The sequence below is a fragment of the Homo sapiens genome, chromosome 6 (assembly GCF_000001405.40).
Source record: "Homo sapiens chromosome 6, GRCh38.p14 Primary Assembly".
NCBI classification, from domain to species: Eukaryota; Metazoa; Chordata; class Mammalia; order Primates; family Hominidae; genus Homo; species Homo sapiens.
Genome location: NC_000006.12, coordinates 125,415,419 through 125,436,706, shown reverse-complemented (window position 1 = coordinate 125,436,706; position 21,288 = coordinate 125,415,419). Strand labels below are relative to the sequence as shown.

The 21,288-nt window shown below is 39.0% G+C and overlaps 1 long non-coding RNA gene across 6 annotated transcripts in view, besides 1 other annotated feature; it reads left to right on the top strand.

Moving 5' to 3' along the window:
* Nucleotides 1-21,288, top strand: part of LOC102723341 (uncharacterized) — a 75,143-nt gene that overhangs the window by 8,473 nt on the left and 45,382 nt on the right. The gene's annotated exons all lie outside the window — the stretch shown is intronic.
* Nucleotides 3,619-3,688: an enhancer, noted in NCBI's record as "active region_25026". NCBI's record gives its function as "activates an Ori minimal core promoter by ATAC-STARR-seq in GM12878 lymphoblastoid cells {active_cell/tissue: GM12878}" and the evidence as "EXISTENCE:reporter gene assay evidence [ECO:0000049][PMID:35858748]".

Genomic DNA, 21,288 nt, shown 5'->3' with positions numbered 1-21,288 from the left:
TCCTGAAATTTATCTTATGGAAATAAAAGTACTCATATGAAAAAATACATAATTAAGAGTATTTATTGTAATTTTTGTCTAATCTAAAGTAGAAAGAAATAACATACATGTCAGTAGGGGAATATTGAATCAATTGTGATATATTTACTCTATGAGGTAGTATGCAACTCTTTTAAAAAATTATTTAGGTTTATATCTATTGACCTGAAGAGATACCCCTAATATGCTGTTAATTTGCAAAGAGGTGTATATAATTTTAAAAAATAATAAATCTCAAATATATATTTGTTTAAAATGCAAAAATTAGCCAGGCATGGTGGCGTGTGCCTGTAATCCCAGCTACTGGAGAGGCTGAGGCATGAGAATTGTTTGAACCCAGGAGGCAGAGGTTGCAGTGAGCCGAGATCACACCACTGCACTCCAGCCTGGGTAACACAGAAAGAGTCTGTCTCAAAAACAAAAACAAACAAACAAAAAAACACAAAACTCTTATCCAATACTTAATGACAAGGTCCAACTTGCAGAACGCTATTAATATTGCAAATATATAAAAATTAATGTTGCATATGGACAAGGAGTAGATGATATCAAAGGCAAATTGAAGCATTCATTAAATTAGATTATGTAGTATGGGAAAATTTTTCTTTTTGATTTCAATTATGTTAATTGGTTGCATTAAGGTGACATTAAACATGTGGGACGTTGAAATTTAAAAGTGCAATTGGCAAGGCTTAAGGTATAACAATTGGTATGGACTGGGAAAATAAAGTGAGGGTGAAAGTCCCTGGAGGTGAGGACAACAAAGACCTTTACATCTTTTGCCCAGAAGTCACCAGAGAAAATTCCTCCTGGTGATAACCTGAGCCAAAGTCCTCAATAAAGGAGGGAGAGTTTCCGGGAAAGTGATGGATGACAGAGAAGAGAAAAGAAAAATGACATGAACCTAAAACAGAATTCAGCAAGAAGCTGGGAGACTTTCATTAAGGCAATTTGCTACAATGGGCGTTTTTTGAAATGGCCAAGAATACTCTTGCTTTTCCCTCCCATCCTCCCCCATTCCCTGATTTCAATTACTAAGTGGAGTTTGGGCTCCATTGGGCTGCTCTTTCTGTAGACTCCAACAGGTCAAGTTCTATCATTGCACCTCTACCTGAGCTGCTCCCCAAATCCTATAACCCTGCTTCTGCTTTTGGGCCTACACTCATCCCTCAGGGTAAACTGGAAGTACTTTTGTCTTCATGACTTCCTTGCAGTTCTGACCCCAAAAGTGTGCTCCATATATGAACTCCTAACATAGCTTGGCACTTCTTTGCAGATGGTCATTTATTCCTCCTCAGTGGTTCTCTATCTGTAAATCTTGTTTCATAAGAGCAGTGCCAAAACTTCATCATTCTCTTCAAGCCTTTTGCTCTATCAAGTCCTCATCCTTTTTTCCTTTTTCATTTCACAGAGAGAATAAGATATCAGCTGGAAAACCTCTCACCTTTCTCTCTCTCTTCCGAGTCCTCCTTCATGTTGGCTCATCAAGGAGGAGGTGTCCCTCCATGTGTCAAAGACAGGATCTACTGGCACCTGGATTTTCTTCTGTTATTCACTGAGCTTCTTGATGTTCCAGCAGTATCCTAGTTGCTGACCAGACAGTAATGAATCACACAAATGTAGCCCCTGTCCTCACAGAGGTTAGGATCTGATGGAGAGCAGGCATTTGTAATTATAAATAGGATGAGTGTTACGTCATGCAGGGATTCTCTCTCCTCCTGTCTTCTTGGAAACTGCTAATGATTATCTCCTGCTGTCTTTATTATCTCTAAACTCTTTTCTATAACATCCCCCAAATGAACATTTATATTTGGGGTCTCATCTTAAATGTAACAATTCCTTTACCCATACTTTTCTTCAAATACAGTTCTACGTTTTCCTCCATTCCACAGCAAGACATCTAGAAAGAGTTGCTTATGATCACTGTATTCTTTATAGTACTTCTCCTTGACACTTGGCTTCTGAAACACTCCCCTGCTGCCACCACCACATCCCAGAACCTCTCTTACCAAAAACGATGACTGTGACTTTGGTGAACTCAATGCACATCTTTCAGTTCTTGTTTGACCTCTTGGCAATGTTTAATGTTGTTATCACTGCCTGCTTTTCCAAACCATCTTTGTTTGGCTTTAGATATTCCACAGTCTCCCCAATTCCTCTCACCACTTTTGCTCTCTATTTTCATCTGCCTTTCAGGTTCATCTTCCACCATTAGACATTTAAGGTTCCAGGTCTCCCTGCTTTCACTTGATATTTTTTACCTAGGCAATCTCATCCATTTGTAACCCCTAGGTTAACATCTCCAGATGACATTTCTGTTAGAGTAGGCAGCTTAAGTCAGGCATGAGCAGGGCAGGAGGGGCCCTTGCTTGACCAGGAATGTCATGAGACCATCAGGTGATGGTCAGGCGGTTGTTAAGCTGGCTCTCTAAAATAATAATTGGTTGCAGCTGACGCCAGGAAAAGGCCTTCTCTCAATAGGTGGAAAACCTGAAACTGGTGACCTGCTTCCTGAGGAGATCTCAGGAGTTGGGCAAATGGGCTCAGGCATGTGCACTAAGGGGCAAAATGGATGATGACCTTCCTCTAGGGGCACTGGATGGGTAAGGGGAAAATGCCTCAAGTGAGCATGCGTACAACTTTAGTAAACATACCATGCCCATGCTCCCCTCCCAATGCTGGCAGGCCACTGTGCATGCAGACAACCCACCCCAAGGGAAGAATCGGGGAGAAGAGATGCAAGACCCCAGAAGCATGCCAGTGAATAAAACTCCAAGCCACAGGTCAAACAGTGCACTTGATCTCTCAAGTCTCCTGCTTGATCCTCTTCCAAATGTACTTTACTTCCTTTCATTCCTGTTCTAAAGCTTTTTAATAAACTTTCATTCCTGCTCTAAAACTTGCCTCAGTCTCTCACTCTGCCTTATGCCCCTTGGTCAAATTCTTTCTTCTGAGGAGGCAAGAATTAAGGCTACTGCAGACCCATATGGATTCGCTGCCTGTAACATTTCCACATTTATATTTCCAGTTCAGATTCCCTCTTGGAATTTCAGACTAGTAAATCCAACAGCCTTTGTGCAATTCCCTCTGGGAATGTTTCTCAGAATCCTGGACCAGCTTAGGGCCCCTTATAATGTGCTCCCATATCACCTCGTATTTCACACTATTCTTGTTTTTTTTTTTTTTTACTACTTTGTTGTGACTTTATTATCTGTATTCATCCCTGGAGTATATTCTATGAAGGCAGGAACCCCAGACAATGTCTGTCTTATTCATCACTGTATCTGCAGTATCCAGTAAAGTGCTTGGTATGTAATGTTAAGTTTAGCCTACAGCTAGCTGCCTCCTTACATGCTTTAAGTTCAGGCTAATGGTTTCTGCATACAAAGTGAACTGTAACCTAACTGGATTGGTAAACAGACTGCAACCTGCTCTTGCACCAATCACTGAGTTTTGGCCAATCACAGGAAGTCAGCGGTTCAAACTGTATTCAAATAAGGCAAATGCTCAGCTGTAACCAATCCAACAATCCAACTGTTTCTGTACCTCACTTCTGTTTTCTGTACATCACTTTCCTTTTTCTGCCCATAAATCTTCTCTGACCCGTGGCAGTGCAGAGTTTCTCAGAATCTATTCTGGTTCACAAGGAGTCGGTGGTGGGGATGTCGGGGGTGGAGGGAGCTGCTGGATTCTCGAATTCTTCTTTGCTCAGATAACCTCTTTTAAATTTAATTTATCTAAAGTTTTTCTTGTCACAGTAATTACTACTGATTGAAAGCCTGGGTTGATAAATTTAACAATTCAATTTAAGCCATTGTTAGAGTTATCTCATTTGTTTTAAAGAGCATCAATATTAGCATGCATTTTATCTGTTGCAGTATCATAGTCTTTTCATGACTGATACTTTTGTCAAATACAATAAAAACAAATTACTAGAAAAATGAAGCAAACAATAACAAAAAAGACACACAAAATGCATGTCCACATTTTTCATTACTAGATTCAACAGACTTGATATTATGAAAGGTTTCTAAATGTTCCCTCTCAATTTCTGTAATTTTCTTGGTGCTGAACAGTGACAAAGAGTTCACAGACCAGCACTGGACAGCAGATCCTACTTGGAGTAGCCCTGGACTCAGTGACAGAGGTAGTCACACCTCTTAGCTTTTTTGCATTTTTCCTAGTCATTTTATTTGCTGAATAACTCCCTCTCATAATTGTAAGGAAAGAAAAATAATTTTCTCTCTACCCTGAATAGTTCTTAATCAGTGTGAACCCCTGTAACAAAAGACAGAGTAACAAGAGAGAAAAAAACCAGAAGTTTATTAGCATGTATGCCTCATATATACATGGGAAACACCCTGAGAAATGAGTAAATTACTAAAAGGTGGCTTTGAAATCAGGCTTTAATAGCCTCACCTGCTGAAACAAAGGAAGGAGGATGTGGGGGGGAGGCCCAGCAGATCATGGTAAGCAAGGGTAAGATGTGTTATGTAGATTTAAGTCAGTGCCTTTTCCATTGATGAGTCTCTAGTAATTTTTGTCATTCTCTGCTTCATGGTACAGAGAGGGAGGCATCTTTACAAATGGAGATTTCCTTTATAGAAATAAATTTCCCTTATAAAAGAATAAAAGAGTAACTTGTCCAGTCAGCCCTTCCTACCCCTGGGTTCCACATCTGTGGATTCAACCAACTCTGGTTTGAAAATATTTGAGAAAAAAACAAGCATCTGTACCAGACATGTACAGCCTTTTTTCTATTCATTATTCTCTATGTAATACAGTATAACAACATAGTTGTTTATACAGCATTTACATTATATTAGATATTATAAGCAATCTAGAGATGATTTAAAGTATATGGGAGGATGTGGATAGGTTATATGCATATATTATGCCATTTTATATCAGGGACTTGAGTATCCATGGATTTTGCTGTCCATGGGGGTCCTGGAACCAATCCCCCACAGATACTGTGGGACAACTGTACTCTGATTTCAGAGCATCTCTCATGTCTGCAGTTTCTCAAAATAATCCTTGTGCCAAAAAGGCATATTTTGAGATGGCTTGTTCTCGTCTCCTACATAGTTAAACCCTAAAGTGGCAGTGGAGGGTACAGATGTCAAGCAGGTGCTCTGAGATGGTGGGGAACATCAGTGTGCATGTGTGCCACAGGGGACCTGCCAGGCTGCTTGTGCTATGTGACTATTGTAGTCCTAATAGAGTTGCCACAGAGTCAGGGCCCACTGTTGTGCAGCCTTATCCTTGGCACTGAATGCTTTAAAACCAAAGGACTTCCTGAAAAACTCTTATCCTTTCATAGCTTATCACTACTGTCTCCAGAATCCTTCAAATATTACAATTTTTATGACCTTTAGAAAATGCTTGCACTGTTTCTAATAAACATGGGAACTGCAACTTCTCATGGAATTGCCAACTGTTTTATTTTTTTCAAATTTTCTAAGACCAAATATCTATGGATACAAAAAGTTCAGCATGACAAGATCTACTGTTCTCCCACATAATTTTTCATGGTAAGACTATGGGGAAGTTTCAACCTCTTCCCTTTTGTCAATTTTGGAGTATTTCTTTGTTTCATATTTGAACAACCAAAAAAAGCCCAGCCACACACCAGAACCTCATTTTATCTCAAGCAGAAGCTGCTGAACAGAAAGCTCAGCTTTTAAAAGTCTTGTTAGGATTGCCAGATTTAATAAATATAAATGCGAGACATCTAGTAAAATTTGAATGTGAGATAAACAACAAAACATTTAATATGGACATGGACATGATGGGCCTGTCCTTTGTGTGGAATACACTTATACTAAAAATTTATTCTCAATTTTCAGTCAAATTTAATTGAATGTCTTGTATTTTATCTGGTAATGCTGTCTCATGTAAATTATTTTGTTTAGATGGGAACGTTTTCCTATGTTACTACTGTGTGGTTTTTGTCTTGTTTTTTTTGAGGTTTGGTGGATTTTTTTCACTACTTGAACACACTTTTTAAAAGGCTCTCTGCCACTTCCAGCTCATTATCAATGACGCCATTAGCATCACCATAGCTTTAAATTATGTTAAAACAGGATTAGAACTACTGACAAATTGTAAAAGCAAGAGACTCCCAAGGAAGTAAGGATCAAATTATGATCAAGAAAGGAAAGGAAGGAAATGCCAGCCTCAGTCTGTAGATAATGCTCAGCATAGTGAATGCTCTGTGATAGAGTCAGACACAGAATACCCTTGGGAGGCCGATGGGCACTCAGCCTCACATTTCACAGATGGAGAAACTTGAACACAAAGGAAGTTAGTGGCTTTTTCAGTGGGGCAGGAAGCAGGTGTGTAAAGGAATGGGAGAAGAGAAGAGAAAAAAAGTCTTCCAAAACTCAGTCTTACCTACCAAAGCATGAAGAACACAGACATCACAAATATGTGGATATTTTTATTAAAATATTCTTCTATCTGGGCATGCTGGCATGCTCCTGTATTCTCAGCTACTTGGGAGGCTTAGGAGAGAGAATCACTTGAGGCCATGAATTTGAGGCTACAGTGCACCGTGATCGCACCTGTGAATAGTGATTGCATTCCAGCTTGGGCAACATAGCAAGACCATATCTCTAAAAAATTTTTAAATAGTTTTCTTCTAGACAGTGAGAAAGTTTTACCTCTACAGTTACCACCCTTTATAAGCACAAATCATGGAATCAACACATTCTAAAATTTGAAAGCATATTACAGAACATTTATTCCAATCTCTTCATTACGTTGATGGAGGAACTGTGAGGCCAAGAGGTTACATGGCTTTACTGAGTTTTATAACTTGTAGAAATCCACCTGGGTCCAGGACTAAGGATTTCTACAACTCAGTGTTTTCAATCCAGCTTCTTTTAAATTAACAATTGATCCATAAGATATAGAAAAAAACAAGGGTCAGTCTCCTCAACCAAGGAAAGTGACTCAAATGAATTGGGAAATAATGGGATCTTAAAATGTCCCTCTCTTTTCAGTAACCTTAGGAATTGCCATCTAAGAATAGAGTCTGATCTTTTCGTTAAAAAATAAATTACAAAAAAATAAAATTATAACACACATATATGTAAGACAAGCATACGTCAAAAATTTTATTTATTCATTAATGAAGGAATGAGTAAGATGTTACAAATAATTTAAATGGTATACAGAGATAAAATGTTACATTGTCTATCTGAATGCTATGGACTGAACTGTGTCCTCTCCTTTCCCTCAAATTAATTTTTTGAAGCACTACCCCGACCCCCACCCCCATGAAATTGTAATGGAGATAGGACAGTGATTTAAGGAGGTGATTAAGGTTAAATGAGGTCATAAGGGTAGAGCCCTGATTTGATAGAATCGGTGTCCTTATAGAAAGGAAGAGACATTAGAGATGTCTCTCTCTGTCTCTCTAGCATGTGAAACCACAGCGAGAAGGTGGCTGTCTACAAGCCAGAAAGAGACTCCTCATCAGAACCCGAGTGTGCTGGCACCCTAATCTCAGACTTCTAGTTCTAGAATTGTGAGAAAATTAATTTCTGTTGTTAAAGCCACCTAGTTTATGGTATGTCTTTATGGAAACTCAAGCTGATTAATATGCAGAAAATCCATTTGCATTGCCTTAAACAAGATCACTTGGATAGCTATGGGCAGGAAACATTTGCAGTTTTGTACAAGTTAACTTGTCTCTCTACAGAGTTGTAAAAGGCTAGTCAAAGACAGACAAAGGGACACACCCCTATAGAATCAGATAATCCCCATAGCCGATAGTGCCTGGCACACTGGAGTGCTGGCAGGGGCTATGCTAAGATACTGTTGTATAAGGGGCCGATTCCTCTCAGCCCTCAGGACAGTGGAGTGAAATTTGAAGTTCCTGAGTCCTCTGCCTCCTCCAATTATGCTAGTGTGCTTTACAAGTATGATCATTTCTACATACATCACAATGTGAAAAAGACTGAAAAGTACTGCCTTAAACAATGAACACCTTTATTACTTTACCCAACAAGAAGTATGGAGAAAAGCAAGCAGTCCAGGGGTGGTTCAGTCCCTCCATGATGTCACCAAAAGTCCACACTCTTTCCATCTTTGCCCTCTGTGACCCTGAGCACATCTTAGCTACCCTCATGGTAGCTGTTACAGTTCCAAATACCACACCCTCACAAGACTATGTGTGAAAGCAGAATAGCAAGTTGCTTCTCTTCCTTGTTTAAATATAGGAGAGAAACCTTTTCCAGAAAATACCCTAGAAGGTATCTGCTTATGTGTCATGGACTAGGTTTGCTTTCCAAGTGAATGAATTCTCATGATTGAGAATTTAAGTTAAACAACATTTCTTCTTGGGGAAGGGAAGAAGCTACATTTCCTGAGAATGGCAGGAGCCATTTCCCACAAGGAACAGATGATTGGGCATGGGATGGCTGTTGCACAAGCCATTGGTGTCTTCTCACTAATTTGTTATGTGACTTTGGTTGAGATATTTTACTTTTCTAGTTATTAGTTTTGTTGGTAACAAAGCAATGGGGTCAAGCAACATCAGGAATATTTAACTCATGTCTACATAGGCCCATGGCTGTGCCTCAGTAACTCTGTGAATCCTTAATTTATATGCAAAATTTTCTGCATGTGTATTTTTCAGAAAAGAATGCCAATAATTTTCATAAAAATGTCAAGGAGTCTATAAAAAGGGGTAATAACCACTGGCCTCAGTGATTTTTATAGCTCAGGCAGCTCTCATATTTTAAGGTTTATAGAATGAGTGAAGAATTTAGAAATGAGAAATTAGGTCTTGAAGAATCCCCCTCACTGGGTTAACTTGTGAATAGTGGCCAGTTTGTGCCTGGGATCTACCTGTCCTTGCCTGAAAGAGGTAATACTAACGCTAGAACCAACAAAGAGCTCTTAGCAATGGTCTAATGATCTCACTTTCTCAGTTTAGGTGAAATCCAAGGATGTTAAGTGATTTAACCAAGATCCACATCCAGTGCATGGCAGCTCAACTCCTAGAACCCAGGTTTTCCAACCATTTAATCTTTTACCTAAAAATGCCAGATGGTTGGAATTTCTCAATCTCTCTTTTCTCTCTCTCTCTTTCTCTTTTTAGATCAAATAATGATAATTAACTTAAAAAATTCATTATCAATTTCAAAGTCTAAGTCTACTGTGATTACCCTAAATCCTAAATTCTCCAATGTTGAGCTACACAGCGTGGGATGGATCACTGACATTTTAGTTGCTACCATAATAATAGTAGCAACAGCAATAATAAATGTCATTATTGGTCTTGTCTTCAAGATATTGCAATGATGACAGGATATTCATCATTCTTTGGCACAAAATCAAAGACTTGACAGAGAAGGCCTAATGCAGAGAAATCTGGAAATCAATCATCTATCATTACCAGCATACCTGGTCTGCAATATACAGTTAGTCTTAGGTGACATTCCTCATCCTTTTGCCATCAGCTTCCCCTAGTTTTAAAGCAAGGAGGCATGGAGAAATACACGTGAAAATAATGAGAAGGTGGAAGAAGAAAAGGTAAAAGGGCTACTTAAGAGTTATTTCAATTCACTATAGCAGAGAAATAAAAATTCTATTTCTAAAAAGATCTGGCCACCCTCTTGCATACTTTTCCCATTTTTATCATTTAGGATATTTGCAATGGTGAGTAATAGAAATCCCAACTGAAATGTCTTAAAAATAAAAAGACAAGTTTATTGTCTCTGGACTTGAGTGAGGGAGCACATAGCCCAAGAGACTCTTTATGTTGTGATCATGAGGAAAGCTGGTGTGAGAACTAAGCTGATACAAGAAGCAGGGCCGAGCTGAGACAATGTCTGAGAAATGAAGCTATTTTATTTTTTAAATTGACTTAGGTTGTGTTTTCTGTACGTACAATCCAAAATAGCCAAATGATGCATCATTTAAAGAGCTGGTCCTTCAAGTCACACAGAGCTTAAAGGTAAAATAAATGAATAAAGAGCTGGTCCTACATCACTAGAAGAAAATCATGGAAAGGTATCTGGGCTGGGACATGACAAAGACATAAAGTCACCTCTTCCAAAAATTGATAAGTCAAGGAAATAAATTAAAACTCTATAGTTAATAGCAGAGCACACTTTAGAGCACTGGATTTTTAAGAGCTCCTTTAAAATGTCACTAGCATAATCCCTAAAGCAAACCTAAGTATATTTACATGAGATACCTCAGATTTCTCTCTGATTTTCTAGTCTAAAATATTTCTACTCACTGAAATGACCAGGAGTGCATTCTCATATCTATAATACATAGAGTGTTGTTCAGAACTGTAAACTTTTTTTTTGAAACCTGAAATAAGCAAAAAATTTCCTCATCAGAATTTTGTCCTAAACATGAACCCAATCTGGGCATGTGTTCATCATTTATAAACCACAAAGGAGAAATCTGGGCCAAGTTTCAGGTGAAACTTCTTTTTTCCCACTGGTTTCAAGTCAGGCAAAATGTAATGTCTCAAGTCCATTAAAAGTGAAAGTTATTGATGTCAACTGACAGAAATTCAGATATAAGATTTTCCAACACTGCAGTCTAAGCATTGGATGTCAGAGAAAGAGCTCCATTATTCAGATCATTCCATTTGGTAGCCATGATTCTCTGAATGGGTGTTGCTTAGTTTCTGTTTGTAAACTAGACTTCGAAGTAACCAATTAAAGCAGGCAACTCATCTAAAGCTAAGAAAGTTTAAGGCAAAAGAATATGAAGATCAATTTATCAAAGCAAACCTTCAGGGTCATCATTTTAGGTATTTTAAACACAGTCATTATTCATAACAGGTATAGACTTCTTATTTGGTACACCAAGGAATAAAAATGGCCTAGGTCTCTTATTTGGCTTATTGGGATCCTACATGCTCTCAAGTGTAATAAAGAAATCTTGAATAATAACTTTCCAGAAGTTCATCTAGGCTTTTGAAGCTTCTAAATTGAAATTACTTTTTCATTAACCAGATTCATAGTCCTAAAAGGACCAAGTTCCATGCAGATCTGCAGAACAAGAGGTAAACACTTTTATCTCTGATTGTAAATTCTAAAGGGTGGAGGGTTTAAAAGGAGGAGGCTGTGCCACAGATGAAGGGTTGTGATACCTAACCCAGGGCAGCATTGTCTCTTCTCTGCTCCAAAAGAGTGAGTTGACCTGAGAAATATGTGCCTACCCTGGGGAAATTAACGAATATGTGAGAGTGATGTATGTTTAAGAAACTTCAGACGTCTAAATAAATGTTGTGTGGTCAGGAGCAAATTTCTTTCAAGCCTGTGGTTCTCAAAATTACAGTCCATCAGAAACCTCTGGAGACCTTGTTTACAATATCAGCCCCTCTGGAAGCACCTCCAGAGTCTAATTCAGTAGGTGTGGGACAGAGCCCAATAAGCCTTTTAATAGCTTTCCCAGTGATTCTGATACAAGTGAGCTGGGTCTTTTCCTCTGAGAAACACAGTTTTAGACTGGACTGCCCTAGCCCAAGCCAAACTATGCAATAGGAAAAGCTCTACTACTTGGCATCATCCTGTCTTGAATTCTGATACGCTTAGCACTCCCCTTCTATGAGTTTACTTTCCCAAGAACAGAGGCAGGCAAACCTAGGTTTAGGACCTGGCTCAACTGTGCAGTAACTGTGTGATCTAACTTAAACTACTTACCATTCAATCATTCATTTATTCATTCAACAAATATGTATGAAGGCCCTGGACCTAACATCTTGAACAAACCCTTATATAGTTTATATGAAGGAGGCAAACATATACAGAGAAAAAAATAGGTAACTTTTTAACCTATTTTATTATTATTTATTTATTTAAAAAATAAAACAGAATGAGATTGAGAATAATTCAGGGGGCAGGGAGGGGCAAGCTACTCTTTTGGATGGACAGTCAAACTCTCTTAGGTCAGATGAGCAGAGACTCAAATAATGTGAAGGAGCTAGCTATGCAAAGATTTAAAGGAAGGTCAAGAGGACAGCAAGCCCAAAATAAGCTTTATGAGCCAAGGGACAGGAAGAAGACCAATAAAGCTGGAGCAGGACTGGCAAATGGGAGAGTGGAGGAGAAAGATCAGGTCAGAGATGAGGATGAGCCAGATTACCCAGAGCTTTAGTACCTTGATAAAGTGCATCAATTCTGTTCTAATTAGAATGTAGGGCCATGGGAGCATTTTAAGCAAGCACAGTCTCTTGTACAACAGTTAGAATACATGTAACTACTTTATAGGGATGCATCACATAGTTTTTGGTTCTTAGTAACAGTTCAATAGATGACAGCTATTGTTATCCTTTCCTGGATGAGGAAAATGCGCCCACCTCAGCATTCTTTGCTCATCAGCACCATATTCCCCCACAAAGGCATCTTACTTGTCCTGTATCTCATCATCTCAGGGTCAACTAAATAGACTGAGCAAGTTACTTCTGCTGCCATGTGTGGATTTGAGGCCCCTGGAGAATGATTACATAGTAAAGATGGCTTTCCAGATGTTTTACGATACCCCTGTTCTGTCTCAGAATAGAAAGGACTTCAAGGATCATTGGTTTTAAATTGAAAAAAGCAATCCAAGGGTCTAATAATCCAAAGTTGAAAGTGTGAGTTAAGTATTTTGGATAGAATGACAACTCATATGCTTCTTCTGGCTCCCAAAAGATCCCCTTAACCCGAGGTGTATGTGAGGCAATGGTAGTCTGGTATCCTTATTCTTCTAGCCTGAACCAACTTAATAGTGTCATGGTTTCATCTTTTATAAAAACATATTAATGTTTTTAATACTATTTCATTTGTTATTTTAACTAAGAATCAAAAATAACTAGTCCAGAAGAGGCATTTGTGGTTCAAGTAATCTACCCTTGGCCAATAAATATGTATTAAGGACCTATCACCTGCCAAGCACTAAATTTATTTCATACAGTGGCTTTCAAATTAAATCTTTCAAAATAGTCCATCATGTGAAACAGATGACATGAAGCACCTTTGGTGAAAGTAGGGCCTCAGTCCTCAACTGGGGCTTTTGGATTGGCCATTGCTCTCCAGGTGGATCCCTGAAGGGTCTGAAGGAATTTGAACACATTTGAAAACTAGTGTTCTGGGTGAAAAGACTGAATAGTCCTCAGAAACTGATAGAAAATGGTTGTGATAATGGCTCAAATGTTGATTCTTCATTCTTTGTTCTATAAAAGATATTTTTGATGTTATAGGTTATATGTCAAACCCTTTAGGGTTTTACCATTTAATGTGCCTTTTTAGTCAAAGGTCCTATAATCTATACCATTCAAATAAATATCCTGAATCTTTTATCTCCCAGAAGCCCTATCCCCTTTGTTAAAAGATAAACTTCGGTACATTAAAATTTTAAAGAGTTAACTTGAACAGACAGCAGTTCATGAATTGGGCAGCATTAAACCACAAATGGTTTGGGTTTCACTGACAGGGTGCAATGTAAAAACGGTTGTAAGATGTCCTCAGAAGAAAGACAAAGAAAATATTTGATTGGCTAAAGTAGAAAATCTTTAGTTAGAATTAGCTGGTAGTTTCTGACTGGTAAAGTGTAAGTTTCATTTTGCTATTTACATTGAGTTGTCTCACTTTGCATATGTAGGAATCTAAGGCCCTAGAGCCATCTTAGCCTAAGAATCACTTGATTAGTCTGTTTAACACTTTTCAATCAGTCATCACTTCTGCATCCCACCAATAGCATCTAGGACATAAAGAACCAAAAGTCTCACCAGGGGCAAAGTGCAAGACTCCCTCACAAATATGCATGAGAGGTAGTCAGCCAGTCCCTAATATACCCCCAATGAAGTTGAATTGATTTAAGTAGGAATTTGGAAAGGTGGAAAGTGCTGTGATTTTTGAAAGTTTCAAAATTACCAATAATATGACCCAAGGCAGGTATCTTAATTTCTCAAGTTAACTGTTTTGTATTTTATAAGAGAGAAAACAAACAATACCTTTCTTATCCAAGAATGACTGATAATAGTCGATAATCAATAAAGGCCAGTTTCTCCTTTTCACTCTGATTCTCAATTGTGAAGCCCCGTACTTCTCACCTGGAAGCCTGCAGGGATGGGACAGAGATGAGAAAGGGCTGTGCTACTATCTTCCAACTACATATGCCTACTGTTTTCCCACGCATGCAGCTGCAGTTATGAAAAGAAAAAGCGAATTCACTGAAAGTGTCAACCAGATTCAAAATAGCCGTTTTTGAAAAGCAACATATCATAAGATTTGTTTTCATTCATGTAAAAGGCCGCAAAACGAGTGATATTAAGAGGTCCTTCAATTTCCAAAGACTGGGAACAGCACTGGGATTCATAAAGCTGGAAACAAAAGTGCAGCCGCCACGCTCTGCCCCTCAGTTGAAGTCATGTTGTCTCCAGAATCCCACCTAGCAGCTGCCTCTCCCCATCCCTCACTATTGGTTATCAGTGGGTAGATAAGGACAATAGCTTTGCTTTTCTTCACTTCATCTGTGGTGTTTCCTGGCTTCCTGCCTCCTCCCCTTCAGTATCCAGGTCTCTCAGGGTCTTGGGAGTCGCCTGAGCAGGCGGGGATGTCTCAGGAGTGCAGCCGGGCAGTCGGGCCGCTGAGTCACAGGCTCTATGGTGTCATTGGCCGGTAGACTGGAAGGAGACAGCTCCGTGGCTGCATCTGATTGCTAATGAGCTTTCTGGGGCCCCAGCCTTCTCATCAGCACCATTTGTTTTTACAGGCTGCCTGCCCTTTGTTGACTTGAGGCTTGTTTTCCCTGCCTTAGAGGCACTCGGAAGTTTTTCCTCGCTGGACCTGGCTGTCTCCTTTTCTTTTGAGACTTCGTGGGAGCTAAATTTAAACTTGATTAACAACATTTAGTCCAAGGAGGGTCAGGATACTATTTTCATGTTAAATGCTGCCCTTTATGTTCTTTTTTGTTTTGTTTTAAGACATAATAGGCCCTCACAATGAGATCCCTTCTGATTTTGTTGCTATGGTGTGAGAGACAAAAAAATAGTATAAAACATTTGATTGGTTGATTCTGATCAGAGGTGGAAAAAGGGATTAATACCTCTTTTGTAAAAATCTATTGACAGGTCTATTTGTAAAACCTCACAAATACTTTTAGTAATGATATTTTTACTCTTTGCTACGAATAACTTCAGGTTAATATTTAGGGATAGCTTGGAATCAGTTGTTCAAGGAAACTTCCAGACTAGACTCCAGATTCCATTCTGCAACCACTAACTTTTCCTTTCTAGCATTTTCCAAGGTGTGATTAAACCGTGAGACTGTAAGTTCCATTAGTGGAGGCACAGCATCTCTTGTGCCCCACCAAGGGGACTGAATATATAAATGGACAATGGCCAGATCACATATGAGAATAGAACTCTGACTTTCCACCTCTGCAGCAATCACTTCTCTAAGCCAAACTATAACCTCTGGCCTAGAGTGGTCAGCAGAACAGAATGGTATGCTCCCCAGACCAATCACATATATGCACCACTCCCAGAAAGCCCACCTTATGCTAGCATGAGGCTCCCCCATGCCAACAGCCTCTAATCAGAGCATACCTGAAGCCTTGCTTCTTCTTCACTAGAAAGATTTGCCAGTCCTCTTCCTGCCTTTGAGTATCTACCAGATGTGATAGTGGCTGACTTCCTAGCTATAACAAATGGAATAAATAGCCTCTGTTTGTTCTCATTTGGGTTGTCTTTATTTTCATAACATGTAATCTCTTGTAATCAGGATAGTGTCTAGCATATAACAAGCCCTTAGGAGAGACTGTCTGAATGAATAAATGAATAAACAAATGACTACACATTAATCCATTTCCGGATTAGAATTCTGTCTTCCTGAGGACCTGGCTTTTCACCTCACCTCTCTAAGTATCTGACTTGTGGCCTTGGAAAAGTCACTCAGTGTGTCTGGGTACCATTTTTCTCAAGCTGTAAACCAGCAAGTTTGGACCAAATAATACCTATGTTTCAAGTATTCCCGGATGCTCATGTTTCAAGTAGCCTTCATAAAACTTCTCTGCAACCATAGCACAGGATGCCCACCTAAATTTCCCCACCCACACTTTACTTAAAGAGGAAATGTACTGAGTGTTTTCTATGATAATCCACTTCTTCTGAATGATGGAAGGAAAAGATAGCTTTTAAGAAAATTAGCTTGTTCCCCCTGAATTATGACTTGGTGAGCCATGATACATGCAAAGTAAATGGAAAGATGATTTTTGTTGCTTATTTATTTATTTGCTAAAGATTCTGAGGAAGAATCATGCTTTTGTGCTGGAAAAACATGTTGTTAAACTCTCTGCACCTCCTCTGCCTTCCCTACACTTACTCACTTGGCTAGGATGCTCCCTCCTCTACTCTAACAATGCAAACCCTTTTGTCTTCAAGGCCTACATCACCCTCCACATTATACATTCACTCTTCCTCAACTTTTCTTGTTTCTGATAATCTTCTGTCTAAACTCCTGTAAGATATCACTTAGAGTGCACATATAGTTTTTTTCTACTGGATTATAAATTATTGAGGGAGGTAATTTGTATCTTCCTATATTTCACATGATGTCATGATAAAGCATAAAGACTATCATTGAATGAGCAAATACAGTGTACCAGCTGGTTTCATTTCTGTTATGTTATTGATTTTCTGCTACCCATGGATAATTGTTATAGACTCCATTTTAAAGAAGGAAAGACTGAGTTTCAGAGAGGTTGAGTAAGTTCTCCAAAGTCACAAGGGCAGCAGTACTGGGTCTCAAAGCCACTTCTTCTGACTTCTGGTTCAAGTTCTTTGAATATCACTACACCTTCCTCCACACTGTAATGATTAAATCTGTTGTTGTGTCCCCATTGACAAATTCAGCTCAAATATCTAAAACAATAACAAATATAGGCTGGAAGACAAAGTTCCAAAGTTTCAAATTATATTTTCGAATCAATTTGAAATTGTAAGTCACAGCGTGGGTTCTTTTTTAATTTTCCTAGAGCTTTGAACTCAGGCCTATGTACTTTTTGCATAGCAACAATAATCTTTGTCTTTATGTACTGAGTAATTTAGATACTTTAAAACTTTTTTGTAGCTATTAGGCTGAAACATAAAAACCAAAATAGACAAATCAGAAGCAATTTGGTTACAGTGGACATTCAGTTCAAAGTCAATCTATTAGATACCATGAGACCTTACCACCTCTTTTATTTTTTCTTCCGTAACCTCCATAACAGAGATGTGAAGGTAAGCTAGAAGAAAACCTAAGAGGAGAACAGATTGGAAATAGCACACCATCCAGCACTGTAGTTACTGTTAAAAGCATATTTATAAGGCTCAAGTGTGGAATTAGAATAATGATTTTATTGTTATTGTTATTCAGACCTTTACCAAAGCAATAATTCTAGCTTTAGAATATAAAATTTAAGGACCTAAGGAATTTACAGGCAAATCTCAATGGTATCCAGAAATGTTATAAATGATGAAAAATGAACCTAGAAGTTGTACTAAAGCAATTGGGATTTTTTGGCCTTTGGAATGGAAGGAAAACAAAATATTCCTCTCTAAAATACTGAGGATTTTAGTTAAAAGGTTAAATGCAGGGGTACACTCTGCCTCTCCTCTCTGCCTTTATCAGCTCAGAGACAGTGGCATTAGAGATCTAGGATCTATCTCTTCCCATAAATTTACCTTCCCACATTTCCCCACCTTTTGGAAACCTGAAGATACTCTCTTCTTTGTTTTATCACTATACAAGATTTATGGCTCTTTGTTAAAATACTATTTAAGCAAGGCCTCTAAGCCACTGCCTTGAGAGAGAAGTGCTTTTTTGAACTGAGGCCTCTTCTGTGTGATGGGTACAGCGCACATTAACAAACTTCTGTTTGTTTTACTTTTGTTAATCTGACTTTTGTTTTCCGGACAATGTTTCAACTAAGAACCTAAAAAGGGAAAGAAAATAAGTTTTCTCCCTTACAGAATAAACTCCACAACTCTTACCAAACAATGGCCTCCAAGGATATCAAGAATAGTAAATTAGACAAATGAGAGGGGCTCTCTGTTTCCTCAGAACTATTGCAAAACACGAAAGAAGTGGGCAGCTTCATCCATGTCCCTAAAAAGGCCATGAACTCATCCTTTTTTATGGCTGCATAGTACTCCATGTTGTATATGTGCCACATTTTCTTTATCCAGTCTATCATTGATGGGCATTTGGGTTGGTTCCAAGTCTTTGCTATTGTGAACAGTGCTGCAATAAACATACATGTGCATGTATCTTTATAGTAGAATGATTTATAATCCTTTGGGTATATACTCAGTAATGGGATTGCTGGGTCAAATGGTATTTCTGGTTCTAGATCCTTGAGGAATTGCCACACTGTCTTCCACAATGGTTGAACTATTATTTACACTCCCACCAACAGTGTAAAAGCATTCCTATTTCTCCACATTCTCTCCAGCATCTGTTGTTTCCTGACTTTTTAATGATCGCCATTCTCAGCAAACTAACACAGGAACAGAAAACCAGACACCGCATGTTCTCACTTGTAAGTGGGAGGTGAACAATGAGAACACATGGAGACAGGGAGGGGAACATCACACACCAGGGCCTGTTGAGGGGTAGGGGACTAGGGGAGGAATAGCATTAGCAGAAATACCTAATGTAGATGACAGGTTGATGGGTGCAGCAAACCACCATGGCACGTGTATACCTATGTAATAAACCTGCATGTTCTGCACAAGTACCCCAGAACTTAAAGTATAATAATAATAATAATAATAATAATAATAATAATAATAATAATAAAGTGGGCAGACATTTAACTGTGTCTTTCCTTGGTGGTACTCTGATACTTGACACCTACTTTTCCCTGACTACTTATCACTTTATCTTTGCCTTATTTCCTGTCTTTCTCTTTTGTCTTCACAGGGCTGTATTTTATTCATTGTATTTGTATTTAATTCTTGTATTTCTTGCACTTACAAGGAATCAAGGGTAACTCTGGTTTTTACCTGTCCAATATCTTTTTCCCCTTCTTCAGTTCTTCTCTAGGGAGCCACTCCTCCCTGAGTCTTGTTCCTTGTTGAGTGGCTGGGCTTACCTCAAAGCAGAGGGACCAAGGGACTTGCCTGAACAATCAGAGTATTCCATCCACCTTTCTACAGTGATGAGTTTGAGAACCAGTGTGTCATTCAAGTGGATGGAATGAGAGTTGATCCCCAGATTTCAGCTGGAATTTTTAGTGCTGAGAAACTTCCTTTTTGGGGTTTGATACTGGTAGGATGTAGGACTGGAATTCCTGGAGACATCCGTGTGGAGAGAAAATGTTTCAAAACAAAACCAATTTGGAGGACAGCAGAACTGAAAGATGCAAAGAGGCCAAGTCCTAACTACAGTGTTTTAGCACTTCGATCCAGCCAAACTTCAAGGTCGTCCACCCTGGGCATTTCAAGCTGTGCATCTATACGCTCATATTTTCTTATTTTCATCAAGTCTGAGGGAGAGGATGGTTCTTTTTGTTGTTGTTGTTTCTTTTTCATTTTAGAGACAGAGTCTCACTTTGTTGCCCAGGCTGGAGTGCAATGGTGCGATCTTGGCTCACTGCAACCTCTGTCTCCCGAGTTCAAGCGATACTCCTGCCTCAGCCTCCCGAGTAGCTGGGATTGCAGGCGCACACCACCATGCTCGGCTAATTTTTGTATTTTCAGTAGAGACAGGGTTTTGCCATTTTGGCCAGGCTGGTCTCGAACTCCTAACCTCAGGTGATCTGCCTGCCTCTATCTCCCAAAGTGCTAGGAAATCAGGTGTGAGCCACTGCGCCTGGCTGAGAGGATGATTCTTAAAAGAGTGATGATAGACATGGGTAGGTAACCAGGACTGTCAGAATAATAACAATGCTGAATTGGGTTTCTAAGAAGCACCTTTGCTAAGACTGGTTTTCATTCTAGGTGGGCTTCTTATGTGGTTTTCCTATCCTCACAGCTTTAAGAACCCTGTTGAAAGTGACTCCTATATCTGTATTTTTAGATCAGAACTTCTCCAGGCCCACATAGCCTACTGGCCCCTCCATGGGCGCCTCAAGCCCAATACCATTAAACCCACATGTTTTCTTCTCCCTCAAACTTATGCATCCTCTTGCTTTCCCCATTTTGCTTAAGGAATTTAAGTACCCAAGCCAGTCTTTCCTAACTAAACTACTTCCTCATGGGTAAACATCATGTTTTCCTTTTCTTTTTATCTTGTTAGCTCCAATCCTAGTAGCATGCCTGCCATTTAGTAGATGCTCCAAAACTTTTTAGCTAAATAAATTAATAAAAAAAGAATAAGATATGATAAGACTTCTCTATTATTTAGAGATAGCTAGAATGGGTCTTGCTTGAAAGAAAAAGAATGAAGTAGATGACCTCTTAGGATTCCCTCCGGCAAAATATTAAAAAAGAAAAGAAAAAAATGTCTTTGCCTTGTTTACCAAGAGAATCACAGGCTGACTTGTGGTTTTCATGGTGTTTTACAGTTAAAAAATGTTTCTTTTGTTTATATTTCATTTCTGACCCATTTAATAAAGTAAGTTAGATGACTAATTGGTGTTGATGCAATACAGTTAGTCATAGACATTGAATCTATGAACTAGTTTCTTAGTTCAAAGATTTGGTGTTGTCCTAAGTATCAATAATGCAACTTTGATCACAAGACATTCTGACCTAATTATTATATTCTTCTGGTCATTTCTTTTCTGTAGGACAAAGCCAAATGCAGTGCTTATAATAAATAGTCTCTTCTCCACAATGCCATATTTGCTCAGAATATCCCATCATAGAAAAATGTGATGGTTCATAGAAAGGACATGAGGGGCTGAGTGTGGTGGCTCACACCTGTAATCCCAGCACTTTGGGAGGCCGAGGCAGGCAGATCACGAGGTCAGGAGATCAAGACCATCCCAGCTAACATGGCGAAACCCCGTCTCTACTAAAAATACAAAAAATTAGCCGGGCATGGTGGCATGCGCCTGTAGTCCCAGCTACTTGGGAGGCTGAGGCAGGAGAATCACTTGAACCAGGGGTGTGGGGGTTGCAGTGAGCAGAGATTGCACCACCACACTCCAGCCTGGACGACAGAGCGAGACTCCATCTAAAAAAAAAAAAAAAAAAAAAAAGAGAGAGACATGAGGGAGAATGATGTACTTGGCAGCCAAGAACACAAACTCAACCTAATCTAAGTCTGATCTCCTTGGCTTAGAACTAGAACAGGACAA